The sequence below is a fragment of the Homo sapiens genome, chromosome 8 (assembly GCF_000001405.40).
Source record: "Homo sapiens chromosome 8, GRCh38.p14 Primary Assembly".
Classification (NCBI taxonomy): Eukaryota; Metazoa; Chordata; class Mammalia; order Primates; family Hominidae; genus Homo; species Homo sapiens.
The window spans coordinates 62,963,799-62,986,955 of NC_000008.11; the positions used below are offsets into that span (position 1 = coordinate 62,963,799).

At 38.6% G+C, this 23,157-nt stretch overlaps 1 protein-coding gene across 3 annotated transcripts in view; it reads left to right on the forward strand.

Annotated features, from left to right (window-relative positions):
* NKAIN3 (sodium/potassium transporting ATPase interacting 3) overlaps window positions 1-23,157 on the forward strand; it is a 750,799-nt gene that overhangs the window by 714,945 nt on the left and 12,697 nt on the right. Inside the window, exon 7 of one of the 3 annotated variants that reach the window (NM_001304533.3) lies at window positions 1,556-21,106. The exons of the other annotated variants lie outside the window; for them this stretch is intronic. Coding sequence (NP_001291462.1) covers window positions 1,556-1,609 — 54 coding nt within the window. The 3' untranslated portion in view covers window positions 1,610-21,106. Of the gene's footprint in view, window positions 1-1,555; window positions 21,107-23,157 lie in introns of those variants that run through there. 3 annotated transcript variants of the gene reach the window in all.

Below are 23,157 nucleotides of genomic sequence, written 5' to 3' on the forward strand. Positions count from 1 at the left end.
GTGCAGGAGGGAGTTGTTCTCTAGATGAGTTCTAGGCGCTTGGGTGGGTATTTTTTTAGTCGTTTTCTTCATGCTGTACAGCGAGAAGAGTGGCAACCAAAAAGTAAAACTTTTGGGAAATTTTTCAGCCATTCCAAATTATAACCAAAGAGTTCACTCCAAGGCACAAAGTCATCAAACTGAAGTAGAGGAAAAGAAGTTGCTAGATGTGGTTATGAAGTGAGTGTGAAACGCAGTCTGTTGGAATGATGCTTATAATTTAGTTGAAGGAAGAAAACTTGCATGCCTGGGTAAAGTAATTAATCATGAGGCCTGGATGCCACCAGCTGACATGGGGAAGAGCTGATAGCCTGAGAGTTGCTCTTAGCAGGATGAGAAAGCAAAATGGCTGAGGGAGAACTGGAAGTCTTCTTCACAGTAGAGAAGAAATTTCAGCCAACATTCAAAGTTGAGTAGGGTTTGGATTAGCTAAGACTTTTCATAGGAGAGAAACTGTGAGAGCAAAAGTGTTCAACAGATGTTTATGAAGTATCATCTATGTAGTAGGTACTGTGTTGAGGTTGACATTGTGCAAAGATGCAGAAACTGATGCCCTAACATTCCAAAGGCTTACAGCTTAGGATAGAATAAGTAGAGTCATTGTCAAAAGTGTGGAGAAAACAGTGATTGGAGATGGGGATCTGTATGAGTCAGGGTTCTCCAGAGAAACAGAACCAGTAGAGAAAGAGAGAGAGAGAGAGTGTGTGTGTGTGTGTGTGTGTGTGTGTGTGTGTGTGTGTGCTTCCCCACACATGCGTGCATCTGGGGGCTGGCAGACTGGAGACCCAAGGAAGAGATGCAGCTCAAGTCCAAAGACAGTCTGGAGGCAGACTTTCTTCTAACTCAAGAGACCTCAGTCCTTTCTCTTAAGGCCTTATACCGATTGCATGAGGCCCACCCACATTACAGACGGCAATCTGCTTTACTCAAAGTCTACTGATTTACGTGTTAATCACTTTTCAAAATAAAAAATTTAAAAAAAAACACCTTTACAGCGAGAGGTAAACTGAAGTTTTACCAAACATCTGGACACCATGGCCTGGCCATGCTGACACATAAAAGTAGCCATCACAGGATGGGATGTGTGTAAGGAACATAAGTCAATGATTGGGTGTTATGAAAGCAAGAGCAGGATGATCTTGAGCACTTAACTACCCAGCATACTGTAGAAAGAACAGGCTATGTGAATATCTCATAGTTTGCGCACACAACACTACCCTGTTATCTTTACCCTTAAGAAAAGCAATAGTGACTACTCCATATCACACAACAATTACTGTGTGGTTGGCACTTCTCTCCCAGGAAATCATCCTGAACTCTGATGATGATGCCCGATTACCATGCCCTAATCTGAAAAGCAGGAAGGCCCAAGTCTTTAACTTTCTTATTGCTACAGTCAGACAGCACCAGGTGCACCCAGGAGCTATTTTGCATTTCAAAAGGCCTCAATGAATATAAAAGATATTTAGCTGTCAGCTTTGAAGTTCTTGAAAGCAATTCGTATTTTCTGTTTTAGGTCGAAATAAGTAATGACATTGAACCAGAAATGCGGCTGCTGAACTTGACTTAGGGAGCAAAGGACCATTGACTGCGCGCCTCGGTGGATCCGACCCGCCTGACATTCCTTCCAGAGGCTAGACTGTGCTTCCTGGCTTTCCCACGAATCATGGAGCATTTTGGTCACAGCCTTTGTATTATTAGCATTGTTCTCTAGATGAGTTCTAGGTGCTTGGGTGGGTATTTTTTTAGTCGTTTTCTTCTTATATGAACACTTGTAAGTTGTAAAAAAAAAAAAAAAAGAAAAAACAGAATTTGGTTTTAAATTTTTAACAATATTTAATGTGAGGCATGCAAAATGAAAAAGCAAATCTGTGAAAACCTTCTACAGTCAATTCTAAGAGAAATCTCAGTGTGTGCTGTGGAGATGTTAAGTCAGCACTGCTGACTGTTGAAGTTATTCTAGGCCTGATGAATTTGTTTTAGCAGACATTACCTGTGGTTATCAGCCACCAAGGTAGACCCTGTGACAGCTGATAAATAGGTACAAATAATGGATCCAGCTTTTGGATTGAATATGGGTCATTTTTTCAACAGCATAAAACAAAACATGGAGTCCTCCTTTGTTCCTGACTTCTTAAAACCCAGAACGATATTATGGCAATCTAAATTTTCAGATTCGTGCATATCTTGTTTTTCCTGATATATATATATATGTAGGCACATGGAAGAGTAAAAGGATTAGTAGAACCCCTTTCCCCTTTGGAGGGAATATGGGTGTCTCTGAGGTCCATATTTTCTACTCATTATTCCATTCCTGACACTGCTGTCAGACCTAAACATACAGCTCATGGGCTTGTGGGACAGAAATCACAAACATAGACCTGCAGTCAGGAACTTTTCTCTTAGGATATTCAAAAGAAGCCTGAAAATGCTGTAGCATTCTCTATAAATACTTCTAAAGGAGACATTCACGTGTGAGCAACATCAGCTTTTCTTTCTCCTACCCCTTCCCAATAACCAAGAAAATGATATGGGAAGCAATTATCTGTGGAAAAAAGGACTGTCTTGAAAACGCATCACAGTTGTATTTTTTTAACTGGCATAAAACTTACATATGGTAAAATGCACAAATATTAATGGTACGATTTGATTAGTTTTGAAAAATGTACATACCCATGTAACCAAGGCCTCAATCAAAATGCAGAACATTTCCGTCACTTTAAAAAATTCCCTTATGCCCTCTTTCAGGCAATGCCTACATTCTCACAGACAACCACTGTGCTAATTTTCATCATCACTGATAATTTGGTCTGTTCTCAATATAAAATATATACACTTTTCACATCACTTTTGCCCACACTTCTCAATCACTATTTTTTATATGAAAATAAGTTTTGCTCACTTTGTGTAACGACCACAGTGAAGCTCCCTATAGGCCAGAAAGTTGTGAATATGTGGTTATTAACTCAGCCCATGCATCTCTAAGAAGTCCGTCTATTAACCACCTAAAACTGTTACAAATATTTGTATGTGTGTGAAAGTCTTTTTTCTTCTTGTTCTTCTTTCGGAGCCTATAGGTTTCATGAGACTCTGTTAAGAATCAGAGTTTAATGTGACAAAGTTTGCCTTCATTCCTCCAAGCTCATCACAACCACAGTGAGCCATTTGGAGACCTAATTTACTCACTAGCCTCCAGATTTTACCCCTTTAATCCATTGGTACCCACAAACTCCCATTACTTTTTTTTCTGCTTAATAAATCCAAATTCAAATAAAGAAAAGCTGGCAGGGACCTTGAAGATGGTGGAATCCAAGCCACTATTCTGCAGATGAGGGGGCTGAAGCCTAAGGGATTTGGTGAACTTGTCCAGAGCCTGTATCTGTACACAGGGGCAAGAGCCATAGCCAGTGGACAGAGAACATGGGAGCAAAAGTTGGGGTTTGGGTCCCATCCACCACCATGTTCTTGGACAGTGTTTGCCATCTCTGCACTACAGTTTTCCTCATCAATGAAGTGGAACTATGATCCCTACCTCCCAAAGGTGAGGTGAGAATTTAACGAAAAATGTAAAAAAATTCTCAGTACACAGTGAAGCACTCCACAATTAAAGGAGGTGATTATTATTAATAATGTCAAAACACTCCTCTGTACCCTGTCTGGAGCTCTTGCTTTCCACTCAAGCGCTATGAAGAGCCCACAGAAACAACAAACTCTGTTTTTTAAAAAGCAGCTGGGAAAACCTTGCCCAAGTTTAAATGATTTGAAATAAACTAAAAAATGCTTTAATTTAAAAATAACATTAATATTCAAGTTCCAAAACTAATGCCAATAATTATTGTTAGTATTGTTACGATTATTGAAAAAGCTGATAAAACATCAAAACTGTAGAGAGTCAGTAAAAAAGGATAAAATGAGTATTGACATATTTTAAACTGTCACTTAATTACCCCCACACATACACATGCAAATAAAATGTGGTTAACATTTCACAAAATAGAACCATACTAAATTTTGTTTCTATTTTATCTTCACGTGAATTTGTACATAGTTCTAGTAGGCACTGCAGAGTCTGAACTTAGTCTAAGTGCAGATAACAGCTTTGAGGAAAAAATCCTTACCTTAGTGATTTGTCTATGAATATTCAATGTAGGCAACTATTTAATATGGTGTATATGTTTTCATTTTTAATCTTTCTTCACTTAAATATGAAGTTATAACTGTTTCAATCTCCAACCTCAGCAATCCATAAAGATTGTCCTAACATTCTGGATATTTGCCACTCATCAGAAACAAGTTAGATTGATCTGCCACCTCCTCTTCTCTCTTTTCTTCTCCCTGCCTTTCATCTTCCTGGTTTCTCTTTGAGGGCTATGCTTCTGTAAGACAAAGGGAAAAAAAGAAGTGCAGAGTTGTACAGTAATACTTGGCAATTACCCGTTAATCTGGGTAATTCCAATGAAGTACTGTCACAGTTACTGTTCCATGGAAATGAGCATTTGCAGTTATTGCTTTTGCCTCCAGTCTTATAGAATGCACTCTGCATTGTGCGTATCCAGTAGGGTTTTCAGCAAAGACATGGTCACTACATGCACTGTATGTTCTTGCCAAACCTCAGCTTCTCCATATGCAATTGTGTGTCTGGTCAGAGTAAGGGAAAATGAATGCATCCCTTAGCTTGCATTCATTGGTCAGAATCTTAACTATCTTAAGAGATGGTGCAGCTCTAGATTCAATAGCTCTCCTCAGAAGTGGCCCTGGCAAAACTGAAGATAGGACATCCACTGCTCTTTAGCTTCTAGTGCTGACTGGAATGGTGAACATTTAAAGCCAGTGTTTTTCCTCTTGGAGCCACCTTAGCACTGAGTCTTGTAAACCTTGGCCAGCCCTTCCTCAGGCCGTGCCTTCTATCTTGTGTGAATGATGCATCCTTTCTTAAGCGTCTTCTGCTGACCTCGTGCAGCACCGCAGGAAGCTGGGATGCTTTCGAGCTTACTTTTTCTTTATTTGAGCTTCTGGTCATGTTTCAAAGCCATCAAAATCTAAGCAAGGGAGTTACAGGGAGGGTTAGAGAATTACCAAAGGACACAAAATGTCTTGGGTTGTGGAATAGCACACATCAGAGAAATCTCAAACATCTCTTAGGAAAATCTCTAAATGTGTATATCCCCAAGTATCTTAGCCTTCCACCTACCACATAAAGTGAGGGTATGTGTCCCTCAAATGAGAAAAATGAAAACACACTTTCTTACCACTTCAAATCTGGGAGGTGGTTGGCTCATTTGTTTTGAAGATACTCGACACTTTGCCCTAGCAAAATATTGACTTCTTTGATTTTTCCTTCAGAAAAATAAGCCCTGTTATTCCTATAGACCTAAATAAGGGAGGCAGCCAGTTTCAAGAGGCTGGCTCTAACAAAATATACCAAGGCTGTCATCTGTCTCACTTAATGAATGGGAAACTCCTGATTGAGAAGAATTTGTCTTCATTAAAACTAGCTAAAATGTACATTGCAAATCTGAAGAAAACAATCATGACTCTGCTAATTTGAGAAGCAAAAACCAAAATTTCTCTTTTCAATCTTTGCAAATTAAAAAGGAATCTTGCCAAGAATAAACAAATCTTCATTTCATACCTAATTTTAAAACGAATTGTGTCCCCAAATATGGTCTATTCTGGCTAATCATTTTTTAAGCAAATCCTCACTTACTTTTTCTGAGTCACTTTAGTATGTAACTAGGATAAATTTCATAGTTGATCAGAATGCAAATGTTCTAACTTGACATTTTTGCCCAAGATACGTTCTTTCCAGGTATAGCTGAATTAAGTAGGAAAAATATAAATAATTGCTCTTTTAAAACTATAACAACTTGAATGCCTGCGGTTTTATTTCCATCTAATTTAAAAGTTATCTGTAACCTTTGTTTGATAGAAGGTCTGTTGAAGTGTCTAAGAACCATGTTGAAATATTTGTGATAAATAGGCCACAACTTAAGGATATTATGCCCAAAAGTGAACTGACAGAGGAAAGTACTCTTCATATAACTGCACAGTGAACAATTTAGAAAGGGAACAGATGACCAGACACAGTGGCTCATGCCTGTAATCCCAAAGCTTTGGGAAGTTGAGATGAAAGAATCACTTGAGGCCAGGAGTTCAAGACCAGCTTGGGCAAAATAGTGAGACCGTATCTCTACAAAAACAAACAAATAAACAAAAAATACCTAAAAAAAAATTTAAATTAGCCAAGCATGGTGGCATGTACCTATGACCCCAGCCACTTGAGGGACTGAGGGAAGGGAAGATTACTTGAGCCCAGGAATTAGAGGCTGCAGTGAGTGCACTACTGCACTCCAGCCTAGGCAATACAGCAAAAGCCTGTCTCTAAAAAGAGAGAGAGATAAGTAGATATGTTTTAATTATTAGAAGAAGGTATTTATCAATAAAGAATTCTCAAAAAAATGGAATTATCAAAAAATTCAAAAGTTATGGGTAGCATCTCTTTTTCATCTGAAAAAGCTTAGTTTCTTATTGAAGACTAAAAAGAAAAATGCCACTTCTTGAAGGTGGATACAGCTTCTTAAATATTGGTATTTGTAGAAAAATTTGGTGGCAGGCAAAACTTGAATCATCTTTCTTGAACTTGCATTCAAATAAAGGGTAAAAATCATGTTAAATGCTAAACATTTTTAAAAACTGAAATATTTAAAGAATCCAAAATATGCTTTAGCTTAAACTTGAGAGCTAAGTTAAGTAAAAAGAAGAAAAGAATAGAAGGTAGAAAGGAAGGGAGAGGAAAATGGAGAGAAGATGAGGAAGAGAAAGAGAAAGAAAGGGAATGGACAAGGAGACAGGAAGGAAGAATCCAAAGTTGAAAGTCACCTAATTGGGATTTGAACAGTCAGTTTTTAACTCAGAATTTTGTTCTTGTTTCTTTGATTGACTAAAAACATTGAATCATTTTCCATGTAAGGCATGTTTTTCCTTTCCTCTTCAGAGTTATTTAGAAACAGTTCAAAGAAACCAATAATCTATCCATTTCTTCTCATAGAATTTGCTTTGGCAGACAACTTAGTCTATATTAGTTAGGATTAGGTTTACCTACAAGTAACAGAAAAAGAAAAATGACAATGGATTAAATAACATAGAGGTCTATTTCTCTTTTTATTTCGAAATTCTGGAGACAGTCAGCAAAGAGCCGGATGTGATTTCCCTAGAGACAAGGACCGAGACTCCTCTCATTGCTTCATCCTCTGTGGCCGCCATTTTTAAGACCATAACATGACTCAAAATGGCTGCTGAAGCTTCAGCCATTGGTTTTGTATTCTGGCCTTGGAGGTGGAGAAGGAACAAAAGGAATGTTTCTTTCCTTTAAGGATATGCCTCAGAAATACACACACTACTTCTGTTTACATCTCATTAGCCAAAACTTGGTCCACCCCCAACTTTGCAGTGAAGAAACCTGGGTATTATAGTCTTTATTCTTAATGACTTTATGCTTAACTAAAAAGTAAGAGCTTTGCTGGACATGGTGGCTTATGCCTGTAATTTCAGCAATTTGGAAGGCCAAGGCGTGCAGATCACTTGAGCTTACGAGTTCGAGACCAGCCTGAGCAACATGGCAAAACCCCATACCTACAAAAAATACAAAAACCAGCTGTGGCGGTGTGTGCCTATAGTCCCAGCTACTTGGGAGGTTGAAGTAGGAGGGTTGTTTGAACCTGGGAGACGGAGGTTGCAGTTAGCCAAGATCATGCCACTGCACTCCAACCTGGGAGATGGAGCCAAACCTTGTCTCAAAAAAAAAGCGGGGGGGGCTTCATTTATTAGTAAGAAGGAAAAATATTTATAAAATCATACTTAGCAGTTTCAATCACACAGTTCAAACTAATTGACATGATTTCTTGGAACAGTGTTTTCATTTGTAGTACTTTATAACACATTCTAGAAAAAATGTACATATATTCTTCAGTACTGTGAGAGATTTAATCATCAAGTATGTGAAATGAGAATTTCTGCCTCATCTTGTTTCCTTATCTTGTCTTTGTGGTTAGAAAGAAATGAAAATAAATCAGTAGCACTACATCCTTCTAGGTTTCCCATAATTTTGCAGACAGGTTTAGCTTTTCTTCTCTAGAATTGAGTTTAAAATTCTAGAGCCAATCTAACATTTTGCTTGGTCCTCATTGTGCTGCCACAATAAATTAATTCTTCTATGGTCATAACACTTGGCTATTTTATTTTGGTAGGGCCTTCTCTTCTGAATTGATTGGTAGTGTTGTTATTTTCTTGTTATTCAGTTTAACAAGTACATAATCAACATCAGTGCTTGGGAAGTCAGGAGTACGAGAGATAAATAAGAAGTATATGATCTTTTCTCTTATTTTCTCTCAGTATAAGTTGGACCTGTTTTTCCCTTCATCTCTTTTTCTTCAAGAACATAATATCGGCTGAAGTGGAATGAGTATTCAAATTGTCCAAAAAAATATACAAGTGAGGGAATTAATAAAATTTTTTGTAATTATAAATATGTATATATTGGGGGGCAAAATATGACTTTTTATTTTTATTTTTAACCACCAGATTGAGTATGTTGATACATCAAATGCCAGTCTTTTATCTTCCTAGTTTTTCAAATAGAAAAGTGATACTAACATCAATAATTAAACTTCCCAAGATTTTTTTGTCTCTCTCTGAATCAAGTTCGTCGTCTATTTACGTGCTTCTCAGTTGACATTTGTGAAGGCAGATTATACACATGAGACAGTGGTGAATAAATCCACCCCAAAATTCCTTTGCAGATCTTGAGTATTTGCCAATATTCTCTATGATTTATTTACATTCTTTTTTCATATATATACTTTAAGTTCTGGGATACATGTGCAGAATGTGCAGGTTTGTTACATAGGTATACATGTGCCATGGTGGTTTGCTGCACCCATCAATTCATCATCTACATTAGGTATATCTCCTAATGTTATCCCTCCCCTTGTCCCCCACTCCCCAACAGGCCCTGGTGTGTGATGTTCCCCTCCCTGTGCCCATATGTTCTCATTGTTCAACTCCCACTTAAGAGTAAGAATATGCAGTGTTTGTTTTTTGTTCCTGTGTTAGTTTGCTGAGAATGATGGTTTCCAGCTTCATCCATGTCCCTGCAAAGGACATTAACTCATTTTTTATGGCTGCATAGTATTCCATGGTGTATATGTGCCACATTTTCTTTATCCGTTCTAACATTGATGGGCATTTGGGTTGGTTCCAAGTCTTTGCTATTGTGAATAGTGCTGCAATAAACATAGGAGTGCATGTGTCATTATAGTAGAATGATTTATAATCCTTTGGGTATACACCCAGTAGGGGATTGCTGGATCAAATGGTATTTCTAGTTCTAGATCCTTGAGGAATTGCCACACTGTCATCCACAATGGTTGAAGTAAATTACACTCCCACCAACAGTGTTAAAAGCATTCCTATTTCTCCACATCCTCTCCAGCCTCTGTTGTATCCTTTTTAATGATCGCCATTCTAACTGGTGTGAGGTGGTATCTCATTGTCGTTTTGATTTGCATTTCTCTAATGACCAGTGATGATGAGATTTTTTTTTACGTTTGTTGGCTGCATAAATGTCTTCTTTTAAGAAGTGTCTATTCATATCCTTAACCCACTTTTTGATGGAGTTGTTTTTTTTCTTGTAAATTTGTTTAAGTTCCTTGTAGATTCTGGATATTAGCCCTTTGTCAGATGGATAGGTTGCAAAAATTTTCTCCCATTCTGTAGGTTGCCTGTTCACTCTGATAATAGTTTCTTTTGCTGCACAGAAGCTCCTTAGTTTAATTAGATCCCATTTGTCAATTTTGGCTTTTGTTGACATTGCTTTTGGTGTTTCAGTCATGAAGTCTTTGCCCATGCCTGTGTCCTGAATGGTATTGCTTAGGTTTTCTTCTAGGGTTTTAATGGCTTTGGGTTTTACATTTAAGTTTTTAAGCCATCTTGAGTTAATTTTTGTACAAGATGTAAGGAAGGGGTCCAGTTTCAGTTTTCTGCGTATGGCTAGCTAATTTTCCCAGCACCATTTATTAAATAGGAAATCCTTTCCCCATTGCTTGTTTTTATCAGGTTTGTCAAAGATCAGATGGTTGTAGATGTGTGGTGTTATTTCTGAGGCCTCTGTTCTGTTGCATTGGTCTATATATCTGTTTTAGTAAAAGTACCATGTTGTTTTGGTTACTGTAGCCTTGTAGTATAGTTTGAAGTTAGGTAGCATGATGCCTCCAGCTTTGTTCTTTTTGCTTAGGATTGTTTTGGCTATATGGGCTCTTTTTGGTTCCCTATGAAATTTAAAGTAGTTTTTTCTAATTCTGTGAAGAAAATCAATGTTAGTTTGATGGGAATAGCATTGAATCTATAAATTACTTTGGGCAGTATGGCCATTTTTACAATATTGATTCTTCCTATCCATGAGCATGGAATGTTTTTCCATTTGTTTGTGTCCTCTCTTATTTCCTTGAGCAGTGGTTTGTAGTTCTTGAAGAGGTCATTCACATCCCTTGTAAGTTGCATTCCTAGGTATTTTATTCTCTTTGTAGCAATTGTGAATGGGAGTTTGTTCATGATTTGGCTCTCTGTTTGTCTATTATTGGTGTATAGGAATGCTTGTGATTTTTGCACATTGATTTTGTATCCTGCAACTTTGCTGAAATTGCTTATCTCTTTAAGGAGTTTTGGGGTTGAGACAATGGGGTTTTCTAAATGTACAACCATATCATCTGCAAACAGAGATAATTTGACTTTCTCTCTTCCTATTCGAATACGCTTTATTTCATTCTCTTGCCTGTTTGCCCTGGCCAGAACTTCTAATACTGTGTTGAATAGGAGTGGTGAGACAAGCCACCCTTGTCTTGCGCCAGTTTTCAAAGGGAGTGCTTCCAGTTTTTGCCCATTCAGTGTGATATTGGCTGTGGGTTTGTCATAACAGCTCTTATTATTTTGAGATATGTTCCATCAATACCTAGTTTATTGAGTGTTTTTAGCATGAAGGAGGGTTGAATTTTGTCGAAGGCCTTTTCCGCATCTATTGAGATAATCATGTGGTTTTTGTCATTGGTTCTGTTTATGTGATGGATTACATTCATTCATTTGCATATGTTGAAACAGCCTTGCATCCCAGGGATGAAGCTGACTTGATCATGGTGGGTAAGCTTTTTAATGTACTGCTGCATTTCTTTTGCCAGTGTTTCATTGGGGATTTTCACATAGATGTTCATCAGGGATATTGGCCTGAAATTTTCATTTTTTGTTGTGTCTCTGCCTGGGATTGGTATCAGAATGATGCTGGCCTCAAAATATGAGTTAGGGAGGAGTCTGTCTTTTCTACTGTTTGGAATAGTTTCAGAAGGAATGGTACCAGCTCCTCTTTGTAACTCTGGTAGAGTTCAGCTATGAGTCCATCTGGTCCTGGGCTTTTTTTTTTAGTTGGTCAGCTATTAATTACTGCCTCAATTTCAGAACTTGTTATTGGTCTATTCAGGGATTCAACTTCTTCCTGGGTTAGTCATGGTAGGGTGAATGTGTCCAGGAATTTATCCATTTCTTCTAAATTTTTTAGTTTATTTGGATAGAGTTGTTTGTAATATTCTCTGACGGTAGTTTGCATTTCTGTGGGATTAGTGGTGATCTCCACTTTATCACTTTTTATTGTGTCTATTTGATTCTTCCCTCTTTTCTTCTTTATTAGCCTGGCTAGCCATCTAAGTATTTTGTTAATCTTTTCAAAAAACCATCTCCTGTATTCATTGATTTTTTGAAGGGTTTTTCGTATCTCTTTCAGTTCTGTTCTGATCTTAGTTATTTCTTGTCTTCTGCTAGCTTTTGAAATAGTCTGCTCTTGTTTCTTTAATTCTTTTAATTGTGATGTTAGCGTGTTGATTGTAGATGTTTAGATTTTAGATGTTTAGATGTTTCCCACTTTCTCCTGTGAGCACTTAGGTCTATAAATTTCCTTCTAAGCACTCCCTCTAAGCTCTATCCCAGAGATTCTGGTACATTGTGTCTTTGTTCTTGTTGGTTTCAAAGAACTTATTTATTTCTGCTGTGATCTCATTATTTTCCCAGGAGTCATTCAGAAGCAGGTTGTTCAGTTTCCATGTAGTTGTGTGGTTTTGAGTGAGTTTCTTAATCCTGAGTTCTAACTTGATTGCACTGTGGTCTGAGAGACTGTTTGTTATGGTTTTCATTCTTTTGCATTTGCTGATGAGTGTTTTACTTCCAGTTATGTGGTCGATTTTAGGAAAATGTGCTATGTGATGCTGAGGAGAATGTATATTCTGTTGATTTGGGGTGGAGAGTTCTGTAGATATCTATTAGGTCTGCTTGGTCAAGAGGTGAGTTCAAGTCCTGAATATCCTTGTTAATTTTCTATCTCGGTGATCTGTCTAATACACACAATGGAGTGTTAAAGTCTCCCACTATTATTGTGTGGTAGTCTAAGTCTCTTTGTAGGTCTCTAAGAACTTGCTTTATGAATCTGGGTGCTCCACTATTAGGTGCATACATATTTAGGATAGTTAGCTCTTCCTGTTGCATTGATCCTTTTACTATTATGTAATGGCCTTCTGTGTCTGTTTTGATTTTTGTTGGCTTAAAGTCTGTTTTACCAGAGGCTAAGATTGCAACCCCTGCTTTTTTTTGCTTTCCATTTGCCTGGTAAATATCTCTCCATCCTTTTATTTTGAGCCTATGTGTGTCTTTGCACATGAGATGGGTCTCGAATACAACACACCAATGGGTTTTGACTCTTTATCCAATTTGCCAGTCTGTGCCTTTTAATTGGGGCATTTAGCCCATTTACATTTAAGGTTAATATTGTTATGTGTGAATTTGATTCTGTCATTATGATGATAGCTGGTTATTTTGCCCATTAGTTGATGCAGCTTCTTCATAGTGTCGATGGTCTTTACATTTTGGAATGTTTTTGCAGTGGCTGGTACTGGTTGTTCCTTTCCATATTTAGTACTTCTTTCAGAAGCTCTTGTAAAGGCAGGCTTGGTGTGACAAAATTCCTCAGCATTTGCTTGTCTGTAAAGGATTTTATTTCTCCTTCACTTGTGAAGCTCAGTTTGGCTGGATATGAAATTCTGGGTTGAAAATTCTTTTCTTTAAGAATGTTGAATATTAGCCCCCAATCTCTTGTGGCTTTTAGGGTTTCTGCAGAGAGATCTGCTGTTAGTATGATGGGCTTCCCTTTGTAGGTAACCCAACTTTTCTCTCTGGCTGCCCTTAACATTTTTTCTTTCAGTTCAACCTTGGTGAATCTGACGATTATGTGTCTTGGGGTTGCTCTTCTCAAAGAGTATCTTTGTGGTGTTCTCTGTATTTCCTGAATTTGTATTCTGTATTTCCTAAGCCTGCCTTGCGAGGTTGGGGAAGTTCTCCTGGATTATATCCTAAATTGTGCTTTCCAACTTGATTCCATTCTCCCCATCACTTTTAGGTACACCAATCAAACGTTGGCTTGGTCTTTTCACATAGTCCCATATTTCTGAGAGGTTCTGTTCATTCCTTTTCCATTTTTTTCTTCTAATCTTGTCTTCATGCTTTATTTCCTTAAGTTGATCTTCAGTCTCTGATATCCTTTCTTCTGCTTGATCGATTCAGCTATTGATACTTGTGTATGCTTCATGAAGTTCTCGTGCTGTGTTTTTCAGCTCCATCAGGTCATTTGTGTTCTTCTCTAAACTGGTTATTCTCTAAACTGGTTATTCTAGTTAGCAATTCCTCTAACCTTTTATCAAGGTTCTTAGCTTCCTCGTATTGGGTTACTATATGTTCCATTCGCTCTGAGGAGTTCGTTATTACCCATCTTCTGAAGCTTACTTCTGTCAATTTGTCAAACACATTCTCCATTCAGTATTGTTCCCTTGCTGGTAAGGAGTTGTGATCCTTTGGAGGAGAAGAGGCGTTCTGGTTTTGGGAATTTTCAGCCTTATTGGACTGGTTTTTCCTCATCTTTGTGGCTTTATCTACCTTTGGTCTTTGGCATTGGTGACCTTTGGAAGGAGTGTTTACATGGTCATGCTCTTTGTTGATGTTGATGCTATTGCTTTCTGTTTGTTAATTTTCTTTCTAACAGTCAGGCCCTTCTTCTGCTGGTCTGCTGGAGTTTTCTGGGGGTCCACTCCATACCCTGTTTGCATGGGTATCACCAGCAGAGGCTGCAGAACAGCAAAGATTGCTGCCTCCTCCTACTTCTGGAAGCTGTGTCCCAGAGGGGCACCTGCCAGATGCTAGCCAGAGCTCTCCTGTATGAAGTGTCTGTCGACCCCTGTTGGGAGATGTCTCCCCATCAGGAGGCATGGGGGTCAGGGACCCACTTGTGGAAGCAGTCTGTCCCTTAGCGGAGCTCCAGTGCTGTGCTAGGAGATCTGCTGCTCTCTTCAGAGCTGGCAGGTGGGAATGTTTAAGTCTGCTGAAGCTGCGCTCACAGCTGCCCCTTCCCCCAGGTGCTCTGTCCCCAGGAGATGGGAGTTTTATCTATAAGCCCCTGACTAGGGCTACTGGCTTTCTTTCAGAGATGCCCTGCCCAGAGAGGAGGAATCTAGAGAGGCAGTCTGGCTTCAGTGGCTTTGCAGCGCTGCAGTGGGCTCCACTCAGACTGAACTTCCTGGCAGCTTTGTTTACACTGTGAGGGGAAAACTGCCTACTCAAGCCTCAGTAATGGCAGATACCTCTCCCCCAACCAAGCTTGAGCATCCCAGGTCTACTTCAGACTGCTGTGCTGGAAGTAAGAATTTCAATCCAGTGGATCTTAGCTTTCTGGGCTCCATGGGGGTGGGATCTACTGATCAAGACCACTTGGCTCCCTGGTTTCAGCCCCCTTTCCAGGGGAGTGAATGGTTCTGTCTCTCTGGCATTCCAGACAACTCTGGGGTACGAAAAAAACTCCTACAGCTAGCTCAGTGTCTGCCCAAATGGCCACTCAGTTTTGTGCTTGAAATCCAGGGCCCTTGTGGTGTAGGCACCCAAGGGATCTCCTTGTCTGTGGATTGCGAAGACCATGGGAAAAGCGTAGTATCTGGACCGGAGTGCACCCCCACTCACGGCATGGTCCCTCATGGCTTCCCTTGGCTAGGGGAGGGAGTTCCCCAACCCCTTGCACTTCCCAGGTGAGGCAATGCCCCACCCTGCTTCTGCTTGCCCTCCGTGGGCTGCACCCACTGTCTAACCAGTCCCAGTGAGATGAACCGAGTACCTCAGTTGGAAATGCAGAAATCACCCACTTTCTGTGTTGGTCTTGCTGGGAGCTGCAGACAGCTGTTCCTATTCGGCCATCTTGCCTGGGAATCTGTAATTATATTTTATTGCATATTCTTCCTAGGCTGGGTGTGTGTGTGTGAAAGAGAGAGAGAAACAGAAACAGAGACAAGGAGACAGAGACAGTGAAACAGAAACAGAGTCATCTTCCAGGTTCTACTTATTAAGCAATATCCCATGAAGTAGCTGAAAAGTGTTATATTCTCCTAATACCTAGTGTTTGCAAATCTGGCAGCTGTCACTGATGATTTAAACAAGATTGGGTGACTTATTTATGTACACACACATCCACAATCAAACTTCAACAGTCGAGTGTACCCTTTTCTAAATAATCACGTTGCTAAAATGTGCCACATGGCCCATTTCTTTAAACAATAAATGGTAAATTATTATTTTGGGGAGTGAAAGCTAAAAGAAATAATATGTCTAATACGATGTGGCATTTTCTCTATACAGTACAGTTTTAGCATTGAAAAGGACCTCAGCAATTCCATTTGCCCCGTTTTCAGATGAGGAGATTGAGGCTGGTAGTTACAGTGGTTTTGCTTCATGTCCCATCCCACTGGGGCTGCTATGCAAGCTCTCAGTCTAGTCTTCTTTCCTCTGCACTTGGTGGCCATCAGCTGTAACAAGTCCTGACTAGACAAGGGCTTTGTTGTTGACTACAATTCAATGCCTTTTTTGCCTGCGTTTGTTTGGACCCTGCTAATCAAGGCTACAGGGCAGCTGCAGAAAGACACCTGCTATTGGCTTACCTGCTCCTCGCCTTCCCTCTGCTTGGGTCTGAGCATCAGAAAGCCACCTTCCAGTGGGTCTTTGCCTAGCTTTTGTCTTGTCTTTGCTTTTTATTCATCTTTGCTTTTGTCTTCTCAGGGCAAATAGGAAATCCTAGACCTCAGATCACTGTTCTTTGCTTCCCAAAAGACAGAACAGCTCAGTCCTGGCTGCCACCTTCTTTCTTTACTCTTGGTTTAAATGTAATCCCACATGCCCTAGACAAGCCTCCTGATGATTTTTCATCAAACATGAAAATAGCTTACTTTTAACTGCTGGGTGTCAGTCTCTTCTAAAAATTTTGTTCCTAAGGAATTGATTTTGCAAATCAGTGCTAAAGTCACTTTTTAACTGCCTCACATACTATCATTTCTTTGACAATTCTTTTTAAAGGGGATTGCTCTTTTCTCCTTCTGGTTTCTCAAATCTACTTTTAACTTCAAATAGCAGGCATGCAATGTAGTTTTATAAGATAATATACTAGGACCATCTATCAGATATGAAACCAAGCATAATCATTGCAATTATTTCTACTGTATTCAGATAATGATAATACAAATAAGAGTACGACATACGTAAATGTTGATTAGCTTTCTGGTTCCTTCATCAAAACTTGCGTTGTGTTGTGCAGCCTTTTCTTTGCATTGTCCAGGGGTTTTGTTATTACAAACCATAATATTTAACCCATTTCTTCTACTAATATCTTTTAATATTTATGCTATTATATAGCTTTTTATTTTTGACATGTATCTAAACCAGAAAAAAATATTCCTTGTACATGATATTTTTAGGCAAAACATAATGTCTGGAGCACCAAGTGAAATAACTGTGGAGAATGGAATGTTGGACAATTTGTGTGGCATGCTTAGCTTAATTTGTTTCTATGGCACAAGCAAAGCTCATTAATTCCATTTATTATTTTAAGCCACTTGTTTGGTGTTATGGATTTTAAGAATCAGTTGGTGTTAGAATTTTTAATAACACAGAGAAAGCCATTGAATATGGAACTCAAATTATCTAAGGTTTACCCAGAAGTCAAAATCACCTGGCCCTCTGTAAATTTCTCTTTGTGTTCCTAGGCCCACAAAGTCTTTGGTCTGAAGACTCAGAGCTTAAATTGCATTGGTCCTGTTAATCTTTGTCAAAAAGGAAGTTTGGGCGGCAGTTTCAGGGTAGTGTTGAGAAGATAACTCCTGGTCCCATTTTATTCTTTCCTCATTTGTTCAGTGCTCATGGCCATCTACAACCTTCCTTGATTCTATTCTGCCTAAGCCTCTTATTTCCACATCTATAAGTATAGTGCTACATAATAATTACAACCTTTAAGAAAATGGAGAGTTTTCATTAAAGGGCCCCTGCAAATCTATGATGCTAGATGACAGATTCTACCAGAAGGCCAGAGTATTAATAGCACCCGTGATAACTGTAATAAGAATATGTCTCGTTTTCTTTTAAAGACATAGATATTCCATTTTAATCCTGTATAACTCAAAGAAAATTTGGGTGTTAACACTTTGAAATACCTTTACCTCCTTTGGGGGAAATCCAAACTGAAAGGAATTAATATCCACATCAGTTCCTAAAGCAAAATGCCTGACACAGACTAACAAAGCTCTTTCTCATCCTGTGGTAGGAACTTAGGAGTGATAACTCACATTGAGAACTTGTGATCTGAAAGCACTAAGGAATTTCTGCCATTGCAGGTAGGAAAAAAAAAGACAAAAATGGTATTCTCAGGTGAGCTTACCTTTCAAATTTTTCTGAGACTTCCTAAATGTGACAAGAACTCTGCTGTGTGGCAACCTTATGTATCCACAACAGAACTAAGGACCGAAAAAAAAAAAAAAAAGATCTCTATCCCAATAGATTTTATAAAATCCATACTCTAAAACTCCTGAGTTTTACATGTACCCTAAAACTTAAAGTATAGTAAAAAAAAGAAAAGAAAGAAAAACTCTTTAACCCTTTGTTTAAATCCTATTAACTCTTAACGATACACAGTTCGAATTATCTAAATGAAATAATTTTCAAGCACATAACAGATTAGAAACAGAGAATGAGAAAGGTATAGTAGATATTATGTAAATAAGCAGAAATAATGGCAATAATTAAACACACTATCTCTACCTAAAAGAACAGAGATAGAAAACTCATATAAAAATCTAAACTACAGTTTTATGGGGATAGTTAAGGTAAGAGCCTGCAGGCAGCACTGTATTGCTTTACAAAACAGCATTTCATTTGTATTATGATGATTTCAGACTATCAATTTAAAAATTCATTAGTATAAATTAAGAACAGGTACCATTTTCTCCAGATACTTCCCCTTCATCTGTCCTGAAATTATTAATTATTGACTTCTACTTAAATAAGATCTTATTTTCATCTGCTGGAAAACTTTTTCTGATAACCATACATATCTTCAATGTCTACAATTTGAATGGAGAGCCCTTTCAATGTGGCGTTTCTGTTTCTTCCATAACCTCACAACGATATGTGGTGGCCCCGCAGTCATTATGGTCTTGTTAAATAATTAGATTTGTGTAAACTATATTTTAGAGTCTTCCAAAACGCCTCTCCTTCCAAAATGGCTAAAAGGGCAAAGCGTCAGTAATTCTGTAGACATGCTTCATGCATGTTCTGAATAGGAGCTATGGTATAATGAGATGCTATCTCTGGAAAAAAATGAATAGATTTTCAAGATTGTGAGTCCTGACATGAGTTCTCTAGAATTTTCCCCTTTGATAAATTTTCCTTTACCTAGCTGTTGCCAAATTGTCTCTTCTAGAAGAATGCCCAGATTTTTTTTCAGTTCCAAAGTTATCAAAATCCCAGGAATATTTCACAGAAAAGAGAAGCATTTATAGCAAGCATGGGTGTGGCATGCTTTCTCTGTGGGAAGTTGTCATCCTCCACAAGATCTTGCCCACACTCAAAACAAACTTGCTTCCCATCACATTCTTGGTTTGTCAGCACTCTGTAAAAGGAAATCTCATCTCCTGTCTGTTGATAGTAGAGCTTATATCAAACTGGGACATGTTTCTTCTTCATTCATGAATAAGTCTAATTTTCTCTCCGGTGTGTAAAACTGACAATACCCACAAGATACTACTGACTTGGAAGTTTCACTGCAGGTAGCTACCATACCAGCATTTGGTAAACTAGCTCCCTAGGTGAGACAGCATTAGATGACCTCCTTCGTGCCACACTACTTGCCAGTATCCACTGGGAGACAAATTATGATTGTTGCGTCCTTCTTTGAAAACACCCCTGCTGAGTACCTACTGTATGTGAGTCACTGTGCAGGCACTAGAAATATAAAGCAAAAAAAACAGATTCTACCCACCGGGAGCTCCTAGTCCAGTGGTGAAGAGGTGTATTAACCCTCAAGGCCCTAAGAAAATCCCCAATAGGGCTCTGCACAAGCCGGGCTCTGATAGGAGGTGCCAGTGCTTTTCTTCTTCCAGTTTCAGAGCCCCAGCGATCCCAGGATGAAGGAGAGCCCATTTGCAACCCTCTTCTGTCTCCCTAAGCATTCAACAAACACTTAGTGACCATCTGTCTTGTGCAAAAAGCTTGGGGAGTGATAAAAACAAATCAAATTCACATTTTAATTTAGGGAGTTTAGGAGATACATCCTAGTGTGGATTTCACATGGTCAATGATTTGCTTTCCTTGAATTTGCCCTCTGCAACCAACACCTGTTCGTGCTATGAGACTGAAGTCCTCCTAGACCGCCCCATTCATCTGAGTAGTTAGGGCTCTGGATGAAGGAGCAAATGGACAAAATAAGCCCCCTCTTGCTCAGGACCTGACTAACATTTCAGAACTGCGGTCACCCATTTTATACAAACCAAAGCACTTCTGACAGACCTCTGAATTTGCATTAAAAAGAGCACGTCTACAGCTCCTAACAATCAAAAACAACTATGAACACTGCTTGCTTCAGTGATACAAACAGACATTTTCTTGTTACATGTGTGGTGATCTGAGAATGGTGACTTTGGACCCAGTTTGACTGGTTAGCGTTTAAATAAAACTTAACAGACTAGGCAACTAAAGGAACTCAGTAAAAGATCAAAAGCAATGCTCAAAGGGAGTGCCTGGGTAACCATGATGTAATTGCAGATTGACACATCTTTGGGTTTTTCATTATTGTTTCTAAAAACTAGATATTATTGCTTTATTATTATGTTGATGATGATTATTGAAAGCACGATAGCAATGTTTAAGTGGTGAGAATGACTCTAAGCCTCTTTTTGTTGCTGTGACTGACAGAACTAAAGGGAGTTTGCTCTCACATTCACAATACCAACTCTGCCATCTTATGGAAAATATTGGAAGTACCTAGGGCATTTCATTATATTTCAAAGGCACAGGTTGCTGGTAAGAGGGACAGAAAGACAAGAACATAGTACCTTCTATTTCTACTACATGTTTTTAATCTTTAACATTTTTACCAGCAGAAATCATTTTTTTTTTAAATCTCTCAATCTTCAAATAATTCTTAGATTGCTTGCCAGCAAAGATGTCTCTTGATCTTGACACTGGAATTCAATGTAAAAATCTTGAATGATATTTTGTACTGATATGAATTTCTACTGTCCCATAACACTGTGTAGTGACTTCACTGTATATTAACTTCTTTTCTACAGATGTTTGACTTATGAGATGAATTAATTGAAAAAGTCAAAGCCTATCAGGAGCTATCTTATATGATGTTGGTAGCCTGTGAAAAAATAAATGTCTTTTTTCTTATACAAACTGATAACAAGACTTGCTTTCACAATTACTATTTACATTTTTGTGCATATAATGCCTGTATATTATACTCATATTTGAAAGTGATCAGAAAGTGTTATTTAACAGAAACTACATACATTTTTTATGTCTCTCTGGACCCTTTGATTCTAAGTAAATTTACAGTAAGTTAGCAGTAATAGACTATTCTTTTCAACTATGAATAAAAATGTACACTGAAGTACAAGATGACTACTGTTTTTAATACATTTTCTCACTATATTATATATTTATTGTAGTAAACTTAGAAACCATATGCATCTTGAATGTTCCTGAATTCTTCAGATTTTGGAGGATTACCCCCCTATTTCATGCACAAATAAAAGTCTTAAGCTACATGACTATAGGAAACCTGGTCCCTCCCCTAGAAATTTCTGAGCAACCCTGGAGAGCGTTTAAATGTTCTGCAAGTGTACCCAGGTGATGCCACTGCCCACTGCAGACAGCTGCTCTGGGCTTCCCCACCAATGCCCCTGACTCCAATTACATCTCACCCCTGCCACTCACTCCACCCTGCCTCTTCCCAAAACAGGAACTCGGCCTCTCTTTTGATTCCACAAGCAAAGTTGAAACAAACCTTTGTAACTAACAAGTGTTACTAAGGTTTTGTGGTAAATATACTCCAGAAAAGAAAACCTTAAAGTAGGTCTCAGGTACCAATGAGTCCAGAGACATTCTGAATCCACCTTCACAGGCTGGTCTCCATCAGACTCTTCTTGCTCCCCTGCCTCTATCTTGTTGCTCCCAAGGAGATCTGCCCACTTTTGACTTCTTCATTGCCTCTGAGACAGGTCATCAAAACATCCTCCACCACAACCCAGCCAGGGAGTAAAATCCCCTTAACATGAGAGTACTGTAGTCTCCACAAAAATTATTTAAAAGAACACTTTATTCTTTACATTATTTGACAGAACATTTAACATCTGACCTGAGTCATTTGCACTGGGATTCCATCCCCAGATCAGACTTTCCCAAAAACAGTGAGTGAATTTGTCTTGAACAAATTGCTAGCACCTCACAGTGCATTCATCACAGAAAAAAAAAAAAAGGGAGGAGCCTGTTAACTTTTATGGGAACTTTCTGTATTGCTTTTGCAACTTTTTGTAGTTCTACAACTTTATTTAAAAGGAAGCAGGGAGGCTTGTTTTAGTGACATACTCCAGATTCTACTCTTAGAGATGAAAGCACAACAACATAAAAATTCATACTTTTTTTTCCATTTCCATTTATCAAAGTAGAAATATAGTCTAGTCTCAGAGTGTCTATCTACTTACAAGCCAAATTTTAAGAAGAAAAGTTTACATTGCTGATATGACTGCCTTTTCCCTTGGATGAGGATTTGAATTCCTATGCCTCGTTGGACAAATGGAAATCATATTGTATGGCAGACACATTTCATAGCAACAACTTAAGCATACCCTAAGAATGACCCTATGGTTTAAGAAGAATGTGTATTTGGAGATCTGTGCTAAAGAATCCAGGAGTGGCTAACCCGGAGATTCATCTCTTATCTATAAGGAACATCTGAGCCCCTAGTCCATCCTGTGGAACGCAGCCCATTCAGGAGATTGAGGCCCTTTGTTTTGGGTTAAACGAATGTTGCCAAGTGGATGTTGCTAGCAGAACAGTGATAAGTGAAAATGTCATATAAACTGCATGCTTTTTACAAGTGGTTGCAGTCCTCCTCTCCAGCCCACTATCACTGGACTGCCCCATATGTAAGTTCCCTCAATAAACTCTGTGTCTCATTCACTGGCTTCAGGTCTCTTATTCAGCCTCTCAAACATGGTGCCCTCCCTACCAAAGTGAATGACATCAAGCACGACACATATTAGATGTTCCTATAATCTAATCATAGCTATGATTTAAACTACAGACTAGTATATATTATTTTTCTTCTCTTTCATCTTTTGCCTGTGTCACAATAACTTAATCATGTCTTTGCTCCTCCTCTGCAATCTCACTGCCATTGCATTTATTATGGTACTCTTTATTAAATAGTCTCTTCATGGAGCTTAGACCCTCCCCCATCCCCCAAAACTCTGCTTTTCAGTATTATATTTCTAAAGTAAGAAATCTGAGCCGTGTTTTATCACCCTGCTTAAAATCTTGAAATAGGATAAAGACTCAGATCCAAATTTCTCATCTTGGTATATAAACTCATCCATTATCTGACCCAACATAGGTTATCAGCCTTGTCTCTTACACACAACGTGTTTTTTTCTTGCTCTTATCTAA